We start from the raw sequence: 18,601 nt of genomic DNA, 5'->3' as shown, positions 1-18,601 counted from the left end.
TGTCTTATTCCTATTTTAAAATAGGTTTTTCTTTATCAGGTTAGACAAATACCTTCTATCTCAAGTTTTTTGAGAGAGGTGTGTGCGTGTGACGTTGTTTTCTTAAGAATGGTCATGTCAGTGGGAAGACAGAGAGAGGCATTTCTATGACAACTGCTGCCATCACCACCTATGACACTGCTTGTTAGGGAGAGAGTCTGTGAGAGGTTCTTATCCACATGGAGATGGTGCACATGGCAACGCACAGCCACAGGAGGCTGAGGAGAGAGGGGACCCCAGGCAGCCACTCCTTTTCCTCTCTGCAGATGCGGAAACAGCCATCTGGAAAGGCAGTTTATTGTGTAATTAACCCTGTAAAGTTGGTCCTCTGGGGCATTCAGGTTCTGAGGAATCCAGGTATTTATCCCAAGTATTTTTGGCAAAAAAAAAAAAAAAAATTAGCCAAAGCTCTAGAGAGAATTGAGACACTGCCATTGGCCTTTCTTATTCTTTATATTCCTGTTTTCTCTTCTTCTAGTACCCTTTTTTCTCTTCCCTCTCTTCCTTTTGCTCTTTCCTCTCTCTTTTTCTTCCCCTCTTCTCTCCCCTCCAGACTCCCTTTAACACCATCTCTTCTCTAACCATTTCCTTTTCTTTCTTCTTTTTTAACTTTTATCTTTCTTAACCATTCCTTACCATTCTCTACCACCTTTTTCCTCCTTTGTCTCCTCTCTCTCTTTCTCTTCTACCTTTTCCTTCCTTCTCTTTTTGCACTCAAAGTTCATTGTTTTCTCCCTCTCACTTCCCTGTAAGAAAAATCAATTAAAAAGGAGGGAGAGAAAAACATTATTTGCTTATGCTTGTATGGCCAAAAGCTGAAAGAGGCAAAGGGTGTCTTATCACCCACACAACGAGCAAAGCCCATATTTCTTGTTAAAGCTAGAGGGAAATTTGCTGAGAGCGGCTGCCCCCTCACACATCAGATGCAACTGACACAAAGCCAAATAGTCACAGGCAAAAGGGCCAGAGGCAGGTGCTTCCACAGCCTCCTGCACATAAACCTCGCCCTCCCCAGACAACAACCCTCCTCTTTGCTCTGCTCCCATGCTCGCCTCCCCCCACCACACACACACATGCACGAGTACACACACACATGCATGCACACATGCACACACATACATGTACATGCATGCATATGCATGCATACACACACATGCACGCACACATACACTCATGCACACACACATGCATGCACACACATGCACACACAGACCTGGCCTGGCTGCCTATCCAGAGCTGCTGAACATGCATGGGACTTCACTTCTGCCCCTCCTGCCATCCTGGGCCTCTGCTCCTCTCCTCTTTCTGTTCACAAATCCCCCACGACCTCCCAAGCCGAGTTCAACTCCCACCTCTTCCATGAACCCTTCCCTGGCCACCTCAACTATCAGTACCCTCCTTTCTCTAAGCTCCTAAAGAGCCATGGGATTCCAGCACTGCAGGCACCTAAAACTCACCTAGCCCAGCATTTTCCCAACCAGAACATATCTGGGACTTTGGAAAGCCATATAATAAGCAATATCTATTAGCATTCAATGGTAAGAACAAATAAAACTGGATCCTCTGTGACTGAGAAACCACACAGGACACCCCTTTCCATTGTTCCTCAATGAGAGTGTGACAAGCTTCTCAAAGTCAGGAATCTTGACTCAGCATTCTTTGTGTTCCCTGATGCCCACCATCAGCTGAGCACATAGTAGGCATTCAAAAAGGACTTGAATGAATGAATAAATGAGTGAACAAATGGCTACCTGTGTGGGGTGAGCAACTAAACAAATGAGGTGAGTGTATAAACAAGTGATTCAGAGAGTGAGTGAATAAATGAATGACCGCAGGAACAAATCCTTAAACTGTCATTTTAATAACTGAAGCTGGGTAAGAAATGCCAAGGAAATGTCTTTAGTAATGCTTCCCTTCTTAATGATGGAGAAGTAAAAAATGAAGCCAAGGACGGAGGCTGAGTTGGGAGGTGCCGTAGTGGAGAGCAAAGAGCGCTGGCCTTAGAGCCCAAAGACCTGTTTCCACCCCACATGTGAATCTCACATGGCATCACAGTGTTCCCTGCTGTGCCTCCCTCTCAGATTTGTGTGAGGCCAAATGAGATCGTGGTTAGGAAGCGTTGGGCGTACTCTGAAGTGCTGCACATACACATTGTATTTAATCTTTGAACGAGGTCAAAGGAAGTCAATAGCAGGCCAGGCTTGCATCTGCACATGTGTAGGGACCAGGGCCATCTTGGCCGGCAGAGCAGCCCTCTCTTAACACTGGGGCCACCACACAAGCCTTGGCTGCTTCAAATCTCAGACGCTCAGGACAAAGAGACACTTAAGAGCCCCAGAGCACCTAAGCTGACGAGGGAGTGGACCCTCAGAAGGGCTGCAGGTGGGACAGGCTGTTCACCCTCAGGGTACCACCCACAGTGGAAATGCCCGGTGCCCACCTGCGCCCAGCCCTCTACTCTCTCCCACACCCTCTTTGGACGCGTGGAACTTTCAGCACCTGCATTTTGCTGAAGCACACACTTACAAGCTCTTCTGAAAGAGCAATGGGCAGAGGAAATGGAAAATCTGGGGCCTGATTCACACTTACCAATACTCAGAAAGTCCCCAAAACAGCCTCCACAATGGGGACCCGCCCGCCCGCCTGCCCGCCCAGCTGTCCCCAGTGCCTCGTGATGGATGTTCCCACTTGCTCATAAGTGGCGCCACGTGGAAGGCGCAGCTGTGTGGAGCCTTGCAGAGACAGCCCGCTTTGCCTCAGCCATGAGGCTCCTAGGTCACTAGAGCTGTGGACCCCAAATGTCAGCTAGACCAGAGGTTTTTAAGTACTTTGTAAGCAATAGAAATCTTAATTTGATTAGAAGTCCTTATGAACCCGTCATTAGAATAGATGTAAGGAGAGCTGTCTCTGATTGTAGTAGGGACTGAATCCCTACTCCCCCAGCCCCACACACAGGCTTGGATCATGTGCACCACCCCTTGAAGGCTCCTGAAACAGTTCTGCAAATTGCTAGGACAATGTCAAAAACAGGCCTCTTTTTAACAGTGGGTAAACTGAGCCCCAAAGAGAAGACAATTCATGGCCAAGATCAAGCTGCATGTTGATGGTAAAAGTAGAGCTGGAATCCTGGCTGCCTGTCACCCCAAGACCTGTGCAGAGGCAGAAGGACTATGCTTATGAGAATTAACTTCTGAGTCAGGGTGAAGTGATGAAGAAATGCCAACAGGTGTCATTGGATAGCCCGAGTGGACAATATGGTCTTGCCCCAAAGCCTTGCTACATTTGTAAGGGGCTTTGGTAGCCTGAGTTACTCCTGGAATCAATTAATCAAGAGGAGCCCTAGCATGAGAGCCAGGGACCTATGTTCTAGCTTCCACTCTGCCTCGCACCTGCCAGAGACTGGGCCTGTGACTGTTTCACTGGAGTTTGACTTACGATCTCTGGGATCCCTTCCAGCTTCAACACTCCACATCCAGGTAATGAGGTGAAGTGTTCTCACCTACGGATAGTACAAGGATTCCTCTAGGGAGGAAATGGTCTCTATCTGGAGAGAGATCTTCATGAGGAGATGGAGAGGCGTGGAGGCATGTGATGGTGCTGCAGCCAAGGCCGTGGGGCAAAGGCCAGCCTCCTCTGTAGGGAACAAGGAAAGAAACGGGAGAGAGAATCAGAGAAGGCAGGGACTGGGGAGCAGCAAGATGGTGCAAAGCTGTAGCTGCCTGGAGCAAAAGGCCAGAGAGAAGCACCCAGCAGTGGAGTGGCCAGAAGGGCATTTTAAGAATGGGAGCATCTCATGTTCAACTTGAAGTTGTTTGCATTGCAGTGATGTAAATCCTTCCTTCATCCCCACCCCCGCCCCACCCCGTATCTTCAAATAAATCTGCCTCACCCACGAATGCTTTGCGCCAGCAGATTGTTATGTGGAAAATGAGAAGCGGCTGAGCTTCCCATCTGGGTCCGTGAGGTGTGGGATGAAGATAGTAAGTGTGAAAGCAAGACTCTGAGGCAGCCAGAGCCAATTGAATGTGTAGCTTCTGGAGAGGCTCAGAAATCTTAGGGTCCTTGGATCTCCATGGAGGAGGAATTTGGGGATCTGAGCCAATCTTACCTGGATCTCAAGGAACAGGGAAGACCCCCTGTGACTTATAAGCTGAAATATTTATGTTGTCCAACCATGAGCTGTGGTATGTGAAAACTCAGAGAAACAGGAGGCAGTGGTCGTGAAATTTTAGTGCATCTAAGCAGGACCTTGGAAGCTTGTTAAAGGTGAAGGTTCCTGGTCCCATGCCATAGATTCTGATGCAATGGGACTTGGACAAACACTGGGATGAGGTGGTGACATGGACCCAGCCTTTGAAGAGCCTGAAATGCCGCTGGCTGCTTTAGTAACAGGATTCACCTGCAGGCCTCTGGCCACTGCCCATTCCTATTGGTCAAGAGCCCACAGGCCCAGCATGGAGCAACCAATTCTTGCTGTGAGCCGCCATCTTTGCCTTAGGATCTGAGTTCCTGACAGCCATGGTCATTGGCTCAGCAGTCCTTTTCTGCCAATGCTAGCCCTTAGGGAACACTGCACCTTCTGGGCAGAAAATGTCTCTGACTTGAGCTCTAAAGCCTGTGGTATGTGCCTGAGAGCACGTTCCCTGCCCCCCATCCAAGCACATCTCCAGGACCTGACTTCTTTCCTCCCTGGACCCATGATTTTACTTGTCTCCACCCCAGGTGGCCCCCCTGGACATGACCTGGGCCAGCGTGCCATATATCCCCTCATGTAGGACTTCCCTTGGACATAGTTTAGATGGGAGAAAATAAGGCAAATAGTGTTAGAAGACAGAGAGAAAGATTTCCTCAAGATAGCCAATCATAGCCTGGGATGCTGGGCCAGATGATGACCAAAGAGTCAAGAGGCACCCAATAAGCAGGTCAGCCCAATGAGCAGAAGAGAGCGCCATGGGCTGGGGGGTTTCTGAGAAGGGCCCAAAAACCTGGAGGGGTTGGGGGGAGAAATCAGAGTTTCATTCATTCATTTATTTATTCTTGGTACAGACATGTGCTGAACACTTCTACATAGGGATACATGCATAAATCAGCCCAACCCTTTTTCTTAAGAAGTGCACCCTCTAGGAGGGGGTAGAATTGGTCCTTGAAAAGTGACAAGATTCTGAGCAGTAGAAAGGAGGTGGAAAGGCGTTTTAGGTAGAGGGAACAACCCGAGCTGAAGTGCAGAGGCAAAATGTAGGCTCAAGAGCTGAGGAGTTGACCAACCTGAGTAAAATAGAAATATATGGAAATACATGGTAATTTGACAGACCTTTCCTGCGCTCTGTGCTGGACCTGGGCTAGGTGCTGGGGATATGAAGGTGAATAAGGAAATCTCTGCCCTCAATCACTGAAGGCTTTATTGTCATTCCAGGAGGTGTGCAAGAGCCAAAGGGCAGGCAACTCCTCTCACAAAGCATTGCAGGCAGTAAGTGTGGGTATAGAGCTGACCCAGCCAGCCTAATTTCCAAGCAGAGGGACGGGAGGCAAAGTCTGAACTATTAAGACAGCTGGCGGAGTTGGCTCCAGCTGCCCGACATGAGATGAAATTTAGTTTGGGGAGATAACCTTTGGGTGCCGTAATTAAGTCCCTGGGCTCTGCCTGGGAGGCCACAGCCTTAATGAAAACAGCCTGAGAAAAACAAATAGCACGGTTGGTGCTCTTGAAGACATTCTAGTTTAAATGTTCAGACATACAGCACCTACAAACATACAGGGTGGGGTACAATCCCAAAACATGCCACTTTCCCTTGCAAAATGACCCTGGTCAGAGCAGGCTGTGGGGAAACCTCACCACTGATTTGTGCAATGAAGGCATCTTGGGTCAGGGCTGGGGAACGGTGGAGGGTTTTATTACTTTTTGTTTTTGTTGCTTTCTTTTTTCTTTCATGCTTTTTTGTTGTTATTGTTCTCGATGACGTCTGAAAAGTCAAGGCAGCTCTTGGTGGTGATGTTTGGAGCTGTGAAGGTGCCTGGGGTCACCGAAGAACAACTCGTGGTTGGGTGAGGAGCCCTGGAGGAAACTGCCCCAGCCTGGGAGTCAGAGGAGGTCTGTCCCAGCTCTGCTGAAAGCTCTGTGACCTTGGGTGAATGAATTTCTTCCTCTCTCTGGGCCTGCTTTTCAGTCAGCCTCTGGCCCCTCCACACTGGGCCAGAGCCCATAACTCTAAGAATAAGAAATTATTACATTAACAACATAGAGGTCAAGGGAGAGGGGCAAGAGTTGAGGCCTTAGATGAAGCAGGAGCTTTCAGAAGTAGATTCTGGCCTTTGGCCAACGTAACTGCAGGTTGTTGGAAAATGGGGTGCTGATAAAAGAAAATTTTAGGCCAGGAATGGTGACTTGCTCCTGTAATCTCGGCACTGTAGGAGGTCGAGGCAGGAGGATTGCTTGAAGTCAGGAGTTTGAGACCAGTCTGGGCAACATAGTGAGAGCCAGGCTCTATCAAAAAAAGAAAGAAGAAAGGAAGAAGGAAGGGAGGGATGGAGGGAGAGAGAGGAAGGAAGGGAGGGATGGAGGGAGAGAGAGGAAGGAAGGATGGAAGGAAGGAAGGAAGGAGAAAGAAAAGAAAGAAAGGAAAGAAAAAGAAAGAAAGAAAGAAAGAAAGAGAAAGAAAGAAAGAACGAAAGAAAGAAAGAAAGAAAGAAAGAAAAACAAGCAAGCAGGTTTTTCTTTGGAAACAAACCATATGATGATGATGTGGGGTGTGTATTTCATTCTGCTTTGGGTAGGACTTGGTTTCTAGTTTCCATCAGCATGACCTGAAGCTGGAATAACACCCTCTGTGTGTGCTGGCCACTCGGCTTAGCACCTCCTAAGGACCCAGGAGACAGTATTGGAAACCAGAGCAGGACAAATGGCCAAGTTTTCTTCAATTCAGGAAGAGAGGAGAGAGAGGGAAATCCCAGAACTTTCTCTCCTCCCATGTGCTGGTAGATGGTTAAAAACAAACTTGTTTTCATGTTCCCACAGTCATTTCAGAGCTGGAGGAACAGAGTCTCCTACCAGGCTCACTCTCTGGTATTTACTGAGCTCCTCAACCTGCCTTTGCAGCCCCCTTCCCCAAGCCCCCTCTGTGAATCAGATTTTTCTCAAGACAAAATGTTTCCAAAGTCTGGACAAGGGACAAGAATACTTGCTTTTTAGGTCTCCTGTTTTATTCCTCCCCATTGTTTTGTTTCATGTCCTTGATGGAGCACGAAGCCTTGATCTCCTGGTCCAAGGGGATCTGGGTGGTGGCCAAGCCTGGTGGTGACCCACTGTCCACCTGTGTCCAGAGTTAGGCCATGCCTTCAGGAGTGGCTTATCACAAGGTCTCTTCCCATGGTGAACGTAGGGCTCTGGTCCAGGGCTCCAGAATCAGGTGGGTGGGAACCCAACTGGCCACAAGGGCAGCATCTGATTCTGCGGAAGAAGGGAGCTCCTCTGTGAGAGCTGCTTCTCTTCCCTTGGGAGAACAGAGTTGGTCTGGACCCAAGGAGCATGTCCCAGATGGAGGAAGGAAAGCACTTCAAGTAGGTGTCTTTGAACTCAAAAATATATTAAAAGATGATCATGTAGGTGAAACTAGCAGGCACTTAAAACATGTTTGAAAGAAAGAGTGGGAATGATCAAGAATGAGAGGAGAGGGAGGGAAGATGGCAGAAAGGTGGGAAGGCAGGCAGGCAGGAAGGGAGGGAGGGAGAGAAGGAGGGAGGAAGAAAGGCAGGAAGGGAGGAAGTCAGGAAGGAGGGAGGGAAGGAAGGAAGGAAGTTACTTCACTTCTTGAAGGCTCAGTTTTTCATCATCTGTGAGATAGGAATAACATCCCTTACATCGGGCTGGTTGTGAGAATTAGAAGACATAACTCCTGTGAAAACCCCAATACAAAGCTGGTGTTCCAAAAAACATCACAGAGGTGAAGTAACTGCCCAGTGAGGCACAGCTTCCACGTGACTGAGCTAAGGCTGGAACCCAGGGGAATCTGACTCTAAAATTAGTAATTTCCACACCACACCCCAACCTTCTTGGACATGAGTTCACTGAGTCTAACACTTAGTCACATGGTGTCTTCAGACAACATGGTGACTCCCACCCAGGGGTGCTCAGAATCCCCCCTTCACCAAGCCCCAAATAACAACCCAAGGAGAGACTAGCTCATGCTGGAATTCACCAGAGGAAACAACAGAAATGTCTCCCCATGGAAATGGACAACAACCTGCTGAGAAATTGACGTAGGGAGTGGCTGGGAAAGGGTGGTGAGCCCCAGTTTCTTTTCAGATTGATGCCACCTAATAACCTCAAGCTGCAGAACTACCATGAGTCACTGCCTTCGGTGCCTCTCAGCCCTATCACCTCTCCCACATCCCAATATTACACAGGTTCTCACATGTTTTTTCTTTAAACCATCTCAGTCCCAGCCCAAGAGTCCCCTAGGCCTCCCTCATATCTTCAGCCAGGACCTGGTTAGCAGACCCAATGGGCACTAGGGCCACCCATGTCAGGCAGGAGGTAGGGAGCCCAGAGCCCAGTGCTGGGGGAGGCTAGGAGGTGACTTTAGCATCTCCCCATCCCTCTGCAGTTCTAGTTAATCTATGTGCTATATACCAATCAAGGTAGAAATTAACATAATCAGCATAATTCCCTGGACACACAGTTTTAGTTTCTTTAAATATGTGTGGTTCAGACAATAAGAGATCCTTCCCTTTCACCAGAGAGATCAGAATGACCTGGAAGCTTTCTGGGGTGGGGACAAGAGTATGTTTGCTGAGAGCATCTGTGCTCCAGGCACTGGGCCAAGTTTTATAGAGCCATTCAGTCTTCAAGACCATCCCCAGGAGAAGTAGGACGTTGTCTCTCTCAGGTAAAGAAGCTGAAATTCCAAGAGTATAAATAACTTAACCAAAGGCACACTAGATTCCAACTTAAGGCAGCTTACAGTCAAAGCCAGGCAGTGTTCCATTATTTCTTTCTGTTTCTAGTGTCCCCCAAACAGGAACCAGCCTTTTCCTTCTACACCTAAGAGCATGGTGGTTCTAAAATCTCCAGGATCTAAAGTCTTCTGCAAGCAATGCACCAAATTAAAGATGGAAATTGAACACTCTTGGATTAGTTGTCAAGACCCTCATTGGTGAGTATGCCCTTAAATATTAAAGTCAATAATCAGCACTGAAGAAAGTTTAAATATTTTGTGGAGCCAAGATGGCCGAATAGGAACAGCTCCAGTCTACACCTCCCAGCGTGAGCGACGCAGAAGACAAATGATTTCTGCATTTCCAACTGAGGTACCGGGTTCATCTCACTGGGGATTGTCGGACAGTGGGTGCAGGACAGTGGTGCAGCGCACCAAGCGTGAGCTGAAGCAGGGTGAGGCATCGCCTCACCTGAGAAGTGCAAGGGGTCAGGGAATTCCCTTTCCTAGCCAAAGAAAGGGGTGACAGACGGCACCTGGAAAATTGAGTCACTCCCACCCTAATACTGCGCTTTTCCGACGATCTTAGCAAACGGCACACCAGGAGACTGTATCCCACGCCTGGCTCAGAGGGTCCTATGCCCACAGAGCCTCGCTCATTGCTAGCACAGCAGTCTGAGATCAAACTGCAAGGCAGCAGTGAGGCTGGGGGAGGGGCGTCCGCCATTGCTGAGGCTTGAGTAGGTAAACAAAGTGGTGGGAAGCTCAAACTGGGTGGAGCCCACCGCAGCTCAAGGAGGCCTGCCTGCCTCTGTAGACTCCACCTCTGGGGGCAGGGCATAGCTGAATAAAAGGCAGCAGAAACCTCGGCAGACTTAAATGTCCCTGTCTGACAGCTTTGAAGAGAGTAGTGGTTCTCCCAGCACAGAGTTTGAGATCTGAGAACAGACAGACTGCCTCCTCAAGTGGGTCCCTGACCCCCGAGTAGCCTAACTGGGAGGCACCCCCCAGTAGGGGCAGACTGACACCTCACACGGCCAGGTACTCCTCTGAGACAAAACTTCCAGAGGAACAATCAGGCAGCAACACCTGCTGTTCACCAATATCTGCTGTTCTGCAGCCTCCGCTGCTGATACCCAGGCAAACAGGGTCTGGAGTGGACCTTCAGCAAACTCCAACAGACCTGCAGCTAAGGGTCCTGACTGTTAGAAGGAAAACTAACAAACAGAAAGGACATCCACACCAAAACCCCATCTGTATGTCACCATCATCAAAGACCAAAAGTAGATAAAACAACAAAGATGGGGAAAAAACAGAGCAGAAAAACTGAAAATTCTAAAAATCAGAGTGCCTCTCCTCCTCCAAAGGAACGCAGTGCCTCACCAGCAATGGAACAAAGCTGGATGGAGAATGACTTTGACGAGCTGAGAGAAGAAGGCTTCAGACGATCAAACTACTCCGAGCTAAAGGAGGAAGTTCGAACCCATGGCAAAGAAGTTAAAAACCTTGAAGAAAGATTAGACGAATGGCTAACTAGAATTACCAATGCAGAGAAGTCCTTAAAGGACCTGATGGAGCTGAAAAACATGGCATGAGAACTACGTGACGAATGCACAAGCCTCAGTAGCTGATTCGATCAACTGGAAGAAAGGGTATCAGTGATGGAAGATCAAATGAATGAAATGAAGCAAGAAGAGAAGTTTAGAGAAAAAAGAATAAAAAGAAATGAACAAAGCCTCCAAGAAATATGGGACTATGTGAAAAGACCAAATCTATGTCTGATTGGTGTACCTGAAAGTGATGGGGAGAATGGAACCAAGTTGGAAAACACTCTGCAGGATATTATCCAGGAGAACTTCCCCAATCTAGCAGGGCAGGCCAACATTCAGATTCAGGAAATACAGAGAATGCCACATAACTACTCCTCGAGAAGAGCAACTCCAAGACACATAATTGTCAGATTCACCAAAGTTGAAATGAAGGAAAAAATGTTAAGGGCAGCCAGAGAGAAAGGTCGGGTTACCCACAAAGGGAAGCCCATCAGACTAACAGCTGATCTCTCGGCAGAAACTCTACAAGCCAGAAAACAGTGGGGGCCAATATTCAACATTCTTAAAGAAAAGAATTTTCAACCCAGAATTTCATATCCAGCCAAACTAAGCTTCATAAGTGAAGGAGAAATAAAATACTTTACAGACAAGCAAATGCTGAGAGAGTTTGTCACCACCAGGCCTGCCCTAAAAGAGCTCCTGAAGGAAGCACTAAACATGGAAAGGAACCGGTACCAGCCACTGCAAAAACATGCCAAATTGTAAAGACCATCAAGGCTAGGAAGAAACTGCATCAACTAACGAGCAAAATAACCAGCTAACATCATAATGACAGGACCAAATTCACACATAACAATATTAACCTTAAATGTAAATGGGCTAAATGCGCCAATTAAAAGACACAGACTGGAAAGCTGGATAAAGAGTCAAGACCCATCAATGTGCTGTATTCAGGAAACCCATCTCACTTGCAGAGACACACATAGGTTCAAAATAAAGGGATAGAGGAAGATCTACCAAGCAAATGGAAAACAAAAAAAGGCAGGGGTTGCAATCCTAGTCTCTGATAAAACAGACTTTATACCACAAAGATCAAAAGAGACAAAGAAGGCCATTACATAATGGTAAAGGGATCAATTCAACAAGAAGAGCTAACTATCTTAAATATATATGCACCCAATACAGGAGCACCCAGATTCATAAAGCAAGTCCTTAGAGACCTACAAAGAGACTTAGACTCCCACACAATAATAATGGGAGACTTTAACACCCCACTGTCAACATTAGGCAGATCAACGAGACAGAAAGTTAACAAGGATATCCAGGAACTGAACTCAGCTCTGCACCAAGTGGACCTAATAGACATCTACAGAACTCTCCACCCCAAATCAACAGAATATACATTCTTTTCAGCACCACATCACACCTATTCCAAAACTTACCACATAGTTGGAAGTAAAGCACTCCTCAGCAAATGTAAAAGAACAGAAATTATAACAAACTGTCTCTCAGACCACAGTGCAATCAAACTAGAACTCAGGATTTAAGAAATTCACCCAAAACCACTCAACTACATGGAAACTGAACCTGCTCCTGAATGACTACTGGGTACATAACAAAATGAAGGCAAAAATAAAGATGTTCTTTGAAACCAACGAGAACAAAGACACAACATACCAGAATCTCTGGGACACATTCAAAGCAGTGTGTAGAGGGAAATTTATAGCACTAAATGCCCACAAGAGAAAGCAGGAAAGATCTAAAACTGACACCCTAACATCACAATTAAAAGAACTAGAGAAGCAAGAGCAAACACATTCAAAAGCTAGCAGGAGGCAAGAAATTACTAAGATCAGAGCAGAACTGAAGGAGATAGAGACACAAAAAACCCTTCAAAAAATCAATGAATCCAGGAGCTGGTTTTTTGAAAAGATCAACAAAATTGATAGACCGCTAGCAAGACTAATAAAGAAGAAAAGAGAGAAGAATCAAATAGACGCAATAAAAAATGATAAAGGGGATATCACCACCGATCCCACAGAAATACAAACTATATCAGAGAATACTATAAATACCTCTATGCAAATAAACTAGAATATCTAGAAGAAATGGATAAATTCCTCAACACATACACCCTCCCAAGACTAAACCAGGAAGAAGTTGAATCTCTGAATAGACCAATAACAGGCTCTGAAATTGAGGCAATAATTAATAGCTTACCAACCAAAAAAAGTCCAGGACCAGATGGATTCACAGCCGAATTCTACCAGAGGTACAAGGAGGAGCTGGTACCATTCCTTCTGAAACTATTCCAATCAATACAAAAAGAGGGAATCCTCCGTAACTCATCCTTATGAGGCCAGCATCATCCTGATACCAAAGCCTGGTAGAGACACACACAAAAAAAGAGAATTTTAGACCAATATCCCTGATGAACATCGATGCAAAAATCCTCAATAAAATACTGGCAAACCGAATCCAGCAGCACATCAAAAAGCTTATCCACCATGATCAAGTGGGCTTCGTCCCTGGGATGCAAGGCTGGTTCAACATACGCAAATCAATAAACGTAATCCAGTATATAAACAGAACCAATGACAAAAACCACATGATTATCTCAATAGATGCAGAAAAGACCTTTGACAAAATTCAACAACCCTTCATGCTAAAAACTCTCAATAAATCAGGTATTGATGGGACGTATCTCAAAATAATAAGAGCTATCTATGACAAACCCACAGCAAATATCATACTAAATGGGCAAAAAGTGGAAGCATTCCCTTTGAAAACTGGCACAAGACAGGGATGCCCTCTCTCACCACTCCTATTCAACATAGTGTTGGAAGTTCTGGCCAGGGCAATCAGACAAGAGAAGGAAATAAAGGGTATTCAATTAGGAAAAGAGGAAGTCAAATTGTCCCTGTTTGCGGATGACATGATTGTTATCTAGAAAACCCCATTGTCTCAGCCCAAAATCTCCTTAAGCTGATAAGCAACTTCAGCAAAGTCTCAGGATACAAAATCAATGTGCAAAAGTCACAAGCTTTCTTATACACCAATAACAAACAGAGAGCAAAATCATGAGTGAACTCCCATTCACAATTGCTTCAAAGACAATAAAATACCTAGGAATCCAACTTACAAGGGATTTGAAGGACCTCTTCAAGGAGAACTACAAACCACTGCTCAATGAAATAAAAGAGGATACAAACAAATGGAAGAACATTCCATGCTCATGGGTAGGAAGAATCAATATCGTGAAAATGGCCATACTGCCCAAGGTAATTTATAGATTCAATGCCATCCCCATCAAGCTACCAATGACTTTCTTCACAGAACTGGAAAAAACTACTTTAAAGTTCAAATGGAACCAAAAAAGAGCCCACATAGCCAAGTCAATCATAAGCCAAAAGAACAAAGCTGGAGGCATCACGATACCTGACTTCAAACTATATTACAAGGCTACAGTAACCAAAACAGCATGCTACTGGTACCAAAACAGAGATATAGACCAATGGAACAACAGAACAGAGCCCTCAGAAATAATGCCACATATCTACAACTATCTGATCTTTGACATACCTGACAAAAAGAAGAAATGGGGAAAGGATTCCCTATTTAATAAATGGTGCTGGGAAACTATATGCAGAAAGCTGAAAGTGGATCCCTTCCTTACACCTTATACAAAAATTAATTCAAGATGGATTAAAGACTTAAATGTTAGACCTAAAACCATAAAAACCCTAGAAGAAAACCTAGGCAATACCATTCAGGACATAGGCATGGGCAAGGACTTCATGTCTAAAACACAAAAAGCAACGGCAACAAAAGCTAAAATTGACAAATGGGATCTAATTAAACTAAAGAGCTTCTGCAGAGCAAAAGAAACTACCATCAGAGTGAACAGGCAACCTTCAGAATGGGAGAAAATTTTTGCAATCTACTCATCTGACAAAGGGCTAATATCCAGAATCTACAATGAACTCAAACAAATTTACAAGAAAAAAACAAACAACCCCATCAACAAGTGGGCAAAGGATATGAACAGACACTTCTCAAAAGGAGACATTTATGCAGCCAAAATACACATGAAAAAAATGCTCTTCATCACTGGCCATCAGAGAAATGCAAATCAAAACCACAATGAAATACCATCTCACACCAGTTAGAATGGCGATCATTAAAAAGTCAGGAAACAACAGGTGCTGGAGAGGATGTGGAGAAATTGGAACACTTTTACACTGTTGGTGGGACTGTAAACTAGTTCAACCATTGTGGAAGTCAGTGTGGCAATTCCTCAGGGATCTGAACTAGAAATACCATTTGACCCAGCCATCCCATTACTGGGTATATACCCAAAGGATTATAAATCATGCTGCTATAAAGACACATGCACACATATGTTTATTGCGGCACTATTCACAATAACAAAGACTTGGAACCAACCCAAATGTCCAACAATGATAGACTGGATTAAGAAAATGTGGCACATATACACCATGGAATACTATGCAGCCATAAAAAAGGATGAGTTCGTGTCCTTTGTAGGGACATGGATGAAGCTGGAAACCATCATTCCAAGCAAACTATCGCAAGGACAAAAAAACAAACACTGCATGTTCTCACTCATAGGTGGGAATTGAATAATGAGAACACATGGACACAGGAAGGGGAACATCACACACCGGGGCCTGCTGTGGGGTAGGGGGAGGGGTTAGGGACAGCATTAGGAGATATACCTAATGTTAAATGATGAGTTAAGGGGTGCAGCACACCAACATGGCACATGTATACATATGTAACGAACCTGCACGTTGTGCACATGTATCCTAAAACTTAAAGTATAATTTTTAAAAAAAGAAAGAAAGTTTAAATATTTTGTTAAAATTTATCAAAACTGATGTGCCAATTAGCAACTGAGCATCAGTCCAGTCCTGTGCCACGCACATTGCAAGGTTCAAATGAAGCCTAAGATGTTCTTAATGGCCTAAGTGGGAAGACAAGATGTTACAGGAAACAGCAGAGAACAATGTTTGACAGTTTTAAATCAAATACAAAGAAACTTGGCTCCACCACTATGTGGCATTGAGCAACAGTTTTAATCTTATTGCAGCTTCATTGCCTTATCTGAAAAATGGGAACAGTGATACTATCTCCCTACAGAATTACTATGAGAATTGCATAAGGCAATCACTGTTCAGCTCAGTGCCAGCTGAACAAGCTCTCAGTAAGTGCTGGTTCGTATCCTTGTTGTGGTCGTCAGGAGTTTGGGAAATAATATTTATTAGAGAGCTCCTCCTTTGTATCTATGGCCATTCAAGACACCTTCAAATCCTCAATTCAATTAGTCCTTTGTCATTTGCCTCATTTTCTAGAAGACAAAGCTGAGGTTTGGGGACTCGTCACACAATTATTCACTAGCAAAGTGAAAGCTAGGACTATTTGATATCAAGACAGATAAGACCAGCTCAAATCAAACAAACAGGTATGTTTTTAGCATTGTTAGGACCCTAAGATCTCTAGAATGTTCTGGAGCAGGCTGTACAGTAGGAGGTTCTGCAATGATGGAAATGCCTGCATCCACATTGGCCAACACAGTAGAGCACTTGAAATGTGGCTAGTGTGCCTGAGAAACTGAATTTTTAATTTTAGGTAATTTTAGTTAATTTAAATTTAAATAGCCACACATAGCTAGTGGCTGACATATTGGACAGTATAGGGCTAGACTACGGTTGGCACCCTGTTTAACCTTGCATCCGAGTCCCTCCCCATCAGTTCCAATGTCTCATTAGTGGTAACTCACTTGCCCGGGTCCCCTGGCCCTGTACTCCCAACTGGCATCCCATGTCAGTCTCTGTCTCCCTCCCCTTTTGCTTTGGTGACACTTTCTGCCCGCCTCACCCAGCTCCTCCTAGGTCTGGCCCTCGGCTTCCCTCTGTTTGACCCTGTGCTCTGGCTTCCTATTGCATCTGCTGAAAACTCCCCAAACCAGGGCCAGGGCTCCTGGCTTCTTCCCCCTTATCTCAATACCCACCCTCCTACCAAGAATAATCTACCAGGCACAGGTCCTGATGCCCCGGAGGTGTGTGTTTGGGTTGGGGGTGGGGTGGAGTGGCAACAAAGGAACAATATGTTCCAAACTGACTCAAGCAAGACATTCCAGGGTATTTACTTCTTTCCATATGAGAAATACAAAGAGAACAAGTGAAGGCCCTGCTTCAAGGAGCTTCCATAGTCAGTGGGGAGCATGAGGCAAACTAAAAATGCAAGAAAGCAATGACCTTGCAGCACAACATGAAGACACATCACAGCTACTCAGGCCAAGTGCGCATTCAAACCAGAAGTGCTCTGGGCTTCAGAGGAGAGAGGCCTCTCTGGGCTGGATTCATCAGGCTGCTCCTGGGAGAAGGCAGAGGGGTCCCCTCCCAATTCAGGCTCTGTCTCTCTCCACCCTGCTCTGGCTGGGAGGCTGACCCTTATAAGGGCCGCGCGAGGGTCTTCTTGTCCTCCCTCTCTAAGTTGGGTTTGGCCAAAGTTGATGGGCAACAGGGGATGCACAGCAAGAGGAAAGAGTAGGGTTTGCACTCCTCTGGCTTCCTCTCTGCCGAGCTGAGGGTTACCAATAACCAGTTTCCTCCAGCGAAGGCCATGACTCCCACCAGGCAGTCCTCACTTATGGCTGTGGGCCTTCTGTGGTTTCCCTCCCTCGCCTCACCTCTTCCAGCCTAGGGACAGTAGCAGCTCCCCACTGTAGTCGTCCCAGGGTTCTACAACATCTCATGTTGCTCTTGCTGTGCCCTGGCCATTCCCTTATAAAGCATCCCTCCTTAACTCTCTTCAAACCCCTTTCTGATGCATCAGCTGTTTCTTGCCAGGACCCTGATTGATACAGGGTCTATGCCGGGTCTTAAAGGATGAGCAGGATTGATACAGGCAGAGGAGCAGAGAAAACCTGAAAAGCAGGCACAAGGCTGCAGGAGCAGTGGCAGAAGACAGAAGCCTTGCTCAGGAGGGCCAGCACAGTGGGGCTGGGGAGGGGCTTTGTTAGGTGGGGATCTGGGCTGAAGCTGGGGCCAGGCTGTGGAGGCCTTGATCACCCAGTTGATCACTATGAAAGGGGGAAACTAAGGAACCCATGTCAAGCTGGGATGGTGCACTGTTTCAGGGCCATGGGTTACTAGGAGCCCTTGAGAGTTTAAAGCTTCTATGGTACTAGCTGTGGTTATCATGCGGGCGACTGATTTTTAAATCTACGTGACACCATTGCAGTATAAATAAAAACTGCACTTGAATAGAATTCCACTCTGGCTTCCATGACAATCAAATGAGAATATCATTAATATTCAAGAACATCTCTTCTGTAGCCAATGGCCTATGGAGTACTATTAATAAATACATACTCTGTCTGTTAGACAGGAACTTTCAAATCCCACCTCTTAGCACCCTATTGGCTAAGCAAATACAAGGACATACTACATATACTTAAGTGTAGACACACTGTACTTGTCAGTTTTCCCCCTGCATAATTCAGATCTTCTCAATCTTGGGAAGAAGCAGTTTCTAATACATATTTTACACCAGATGCCATTTGAACAGAGTACGGCATGCCTGAAATGTGATATGCAATGAGATTGGGACTATTCCTTGGCAATACTTGATGACTCCTAGGAAAGCATATTGACCTCTACTGCCTTTATAGCCAAGAGAATGTGGGCACTTGGCTGGCATTTGCAAAGTCAGAGCTGTCAGAGCGGCTGTTGCTCCCTTAGCTGAAGCAATGCAGAATTCTTTAATAGAATTATGCATTTATACATATAGAACTATGCTAATATCTTAAAAGATAGGTGAAAAAATCTGACTATATTTTCCAAATTAAAAAAAAGAGAGACTGCTTTGGCTAAAATTTTGCCAAGATACCATAATAATGAAAAGATTTTTGCATCATCTACATCATCTGCCTCCACCTGTTGATTTGCTGAGTATCAGGACAGCAGTACTTTGAGCTTCAGCAGATTTTTTTTTTAAAGAAGGATTTTATATATTCCTTACCTTTTTTTCATGGATAATTGATAATGTTGATTA

At 45.5% G+C, this 18,601-nt stretch overlaps 1 long non-coding RNA gene across 2 annotated transcripts in view, besides 1 other annotated feature; it reads right to left on the bottom strand.

Annotated features, from left to right (window-relative positions):
• The window catches only part of PCAT29 (prostate cancer associated transcript 29), a 103,551-nt gene that overhangs the window by 63,340 nt on the left and 21,610 nt on the right, over positions 1 to 18,601 (bottom strand). The window contains exon 3 of one of the 2 annotated variants that reach the window (NR_126437.1): positions 3,539 to 3,672. The exons of the other annotated variant lie outside the window; for it this stretch is intronic. This is a non-coding gene — a long non-coding RNA (prostate cancer associated transcript 29). The remainder of the gene's footprint in view (positions 1 to 3,538; positions 3,673 to 18,601) is intronic. 2 annotated transcript variants of the gene reach the window in all.
• Positions 4,327 to 4,621: an enhancer, noted in NCBI's record as "tiled region #11672; HepG2 Activating DNase matched - State 20:ReprD, and K562 Activating non-DNase unmatched - State 24:Quies". NCBI's record gives its function as "activates a minimal TATA promoter and a strong SV40 promoter by Sharpr-MPRA in HepG2 and K562 cells {active_cell/tissue: HepG2 | K562}" and the evidence as "EXISTENCE:reporter gene assay evidence [ECO:0000049][PMID:27701403]".

The sequence above is a fragment of the Homo sapiens genome, chromosome 15 (genome assembly GCF_000001405.40).
Source record: "Homo sapiens chromosome 15, GRCh38.p14 Primary Assembly".
NCBI lineage: Eukaryota > Metazoa > Chordata > Mammalia > Primates > Hominidae > Homo > Homo sapiens.
This window is presented reverse-complemented; position numbering and strand designations above follow the sequence as displayed.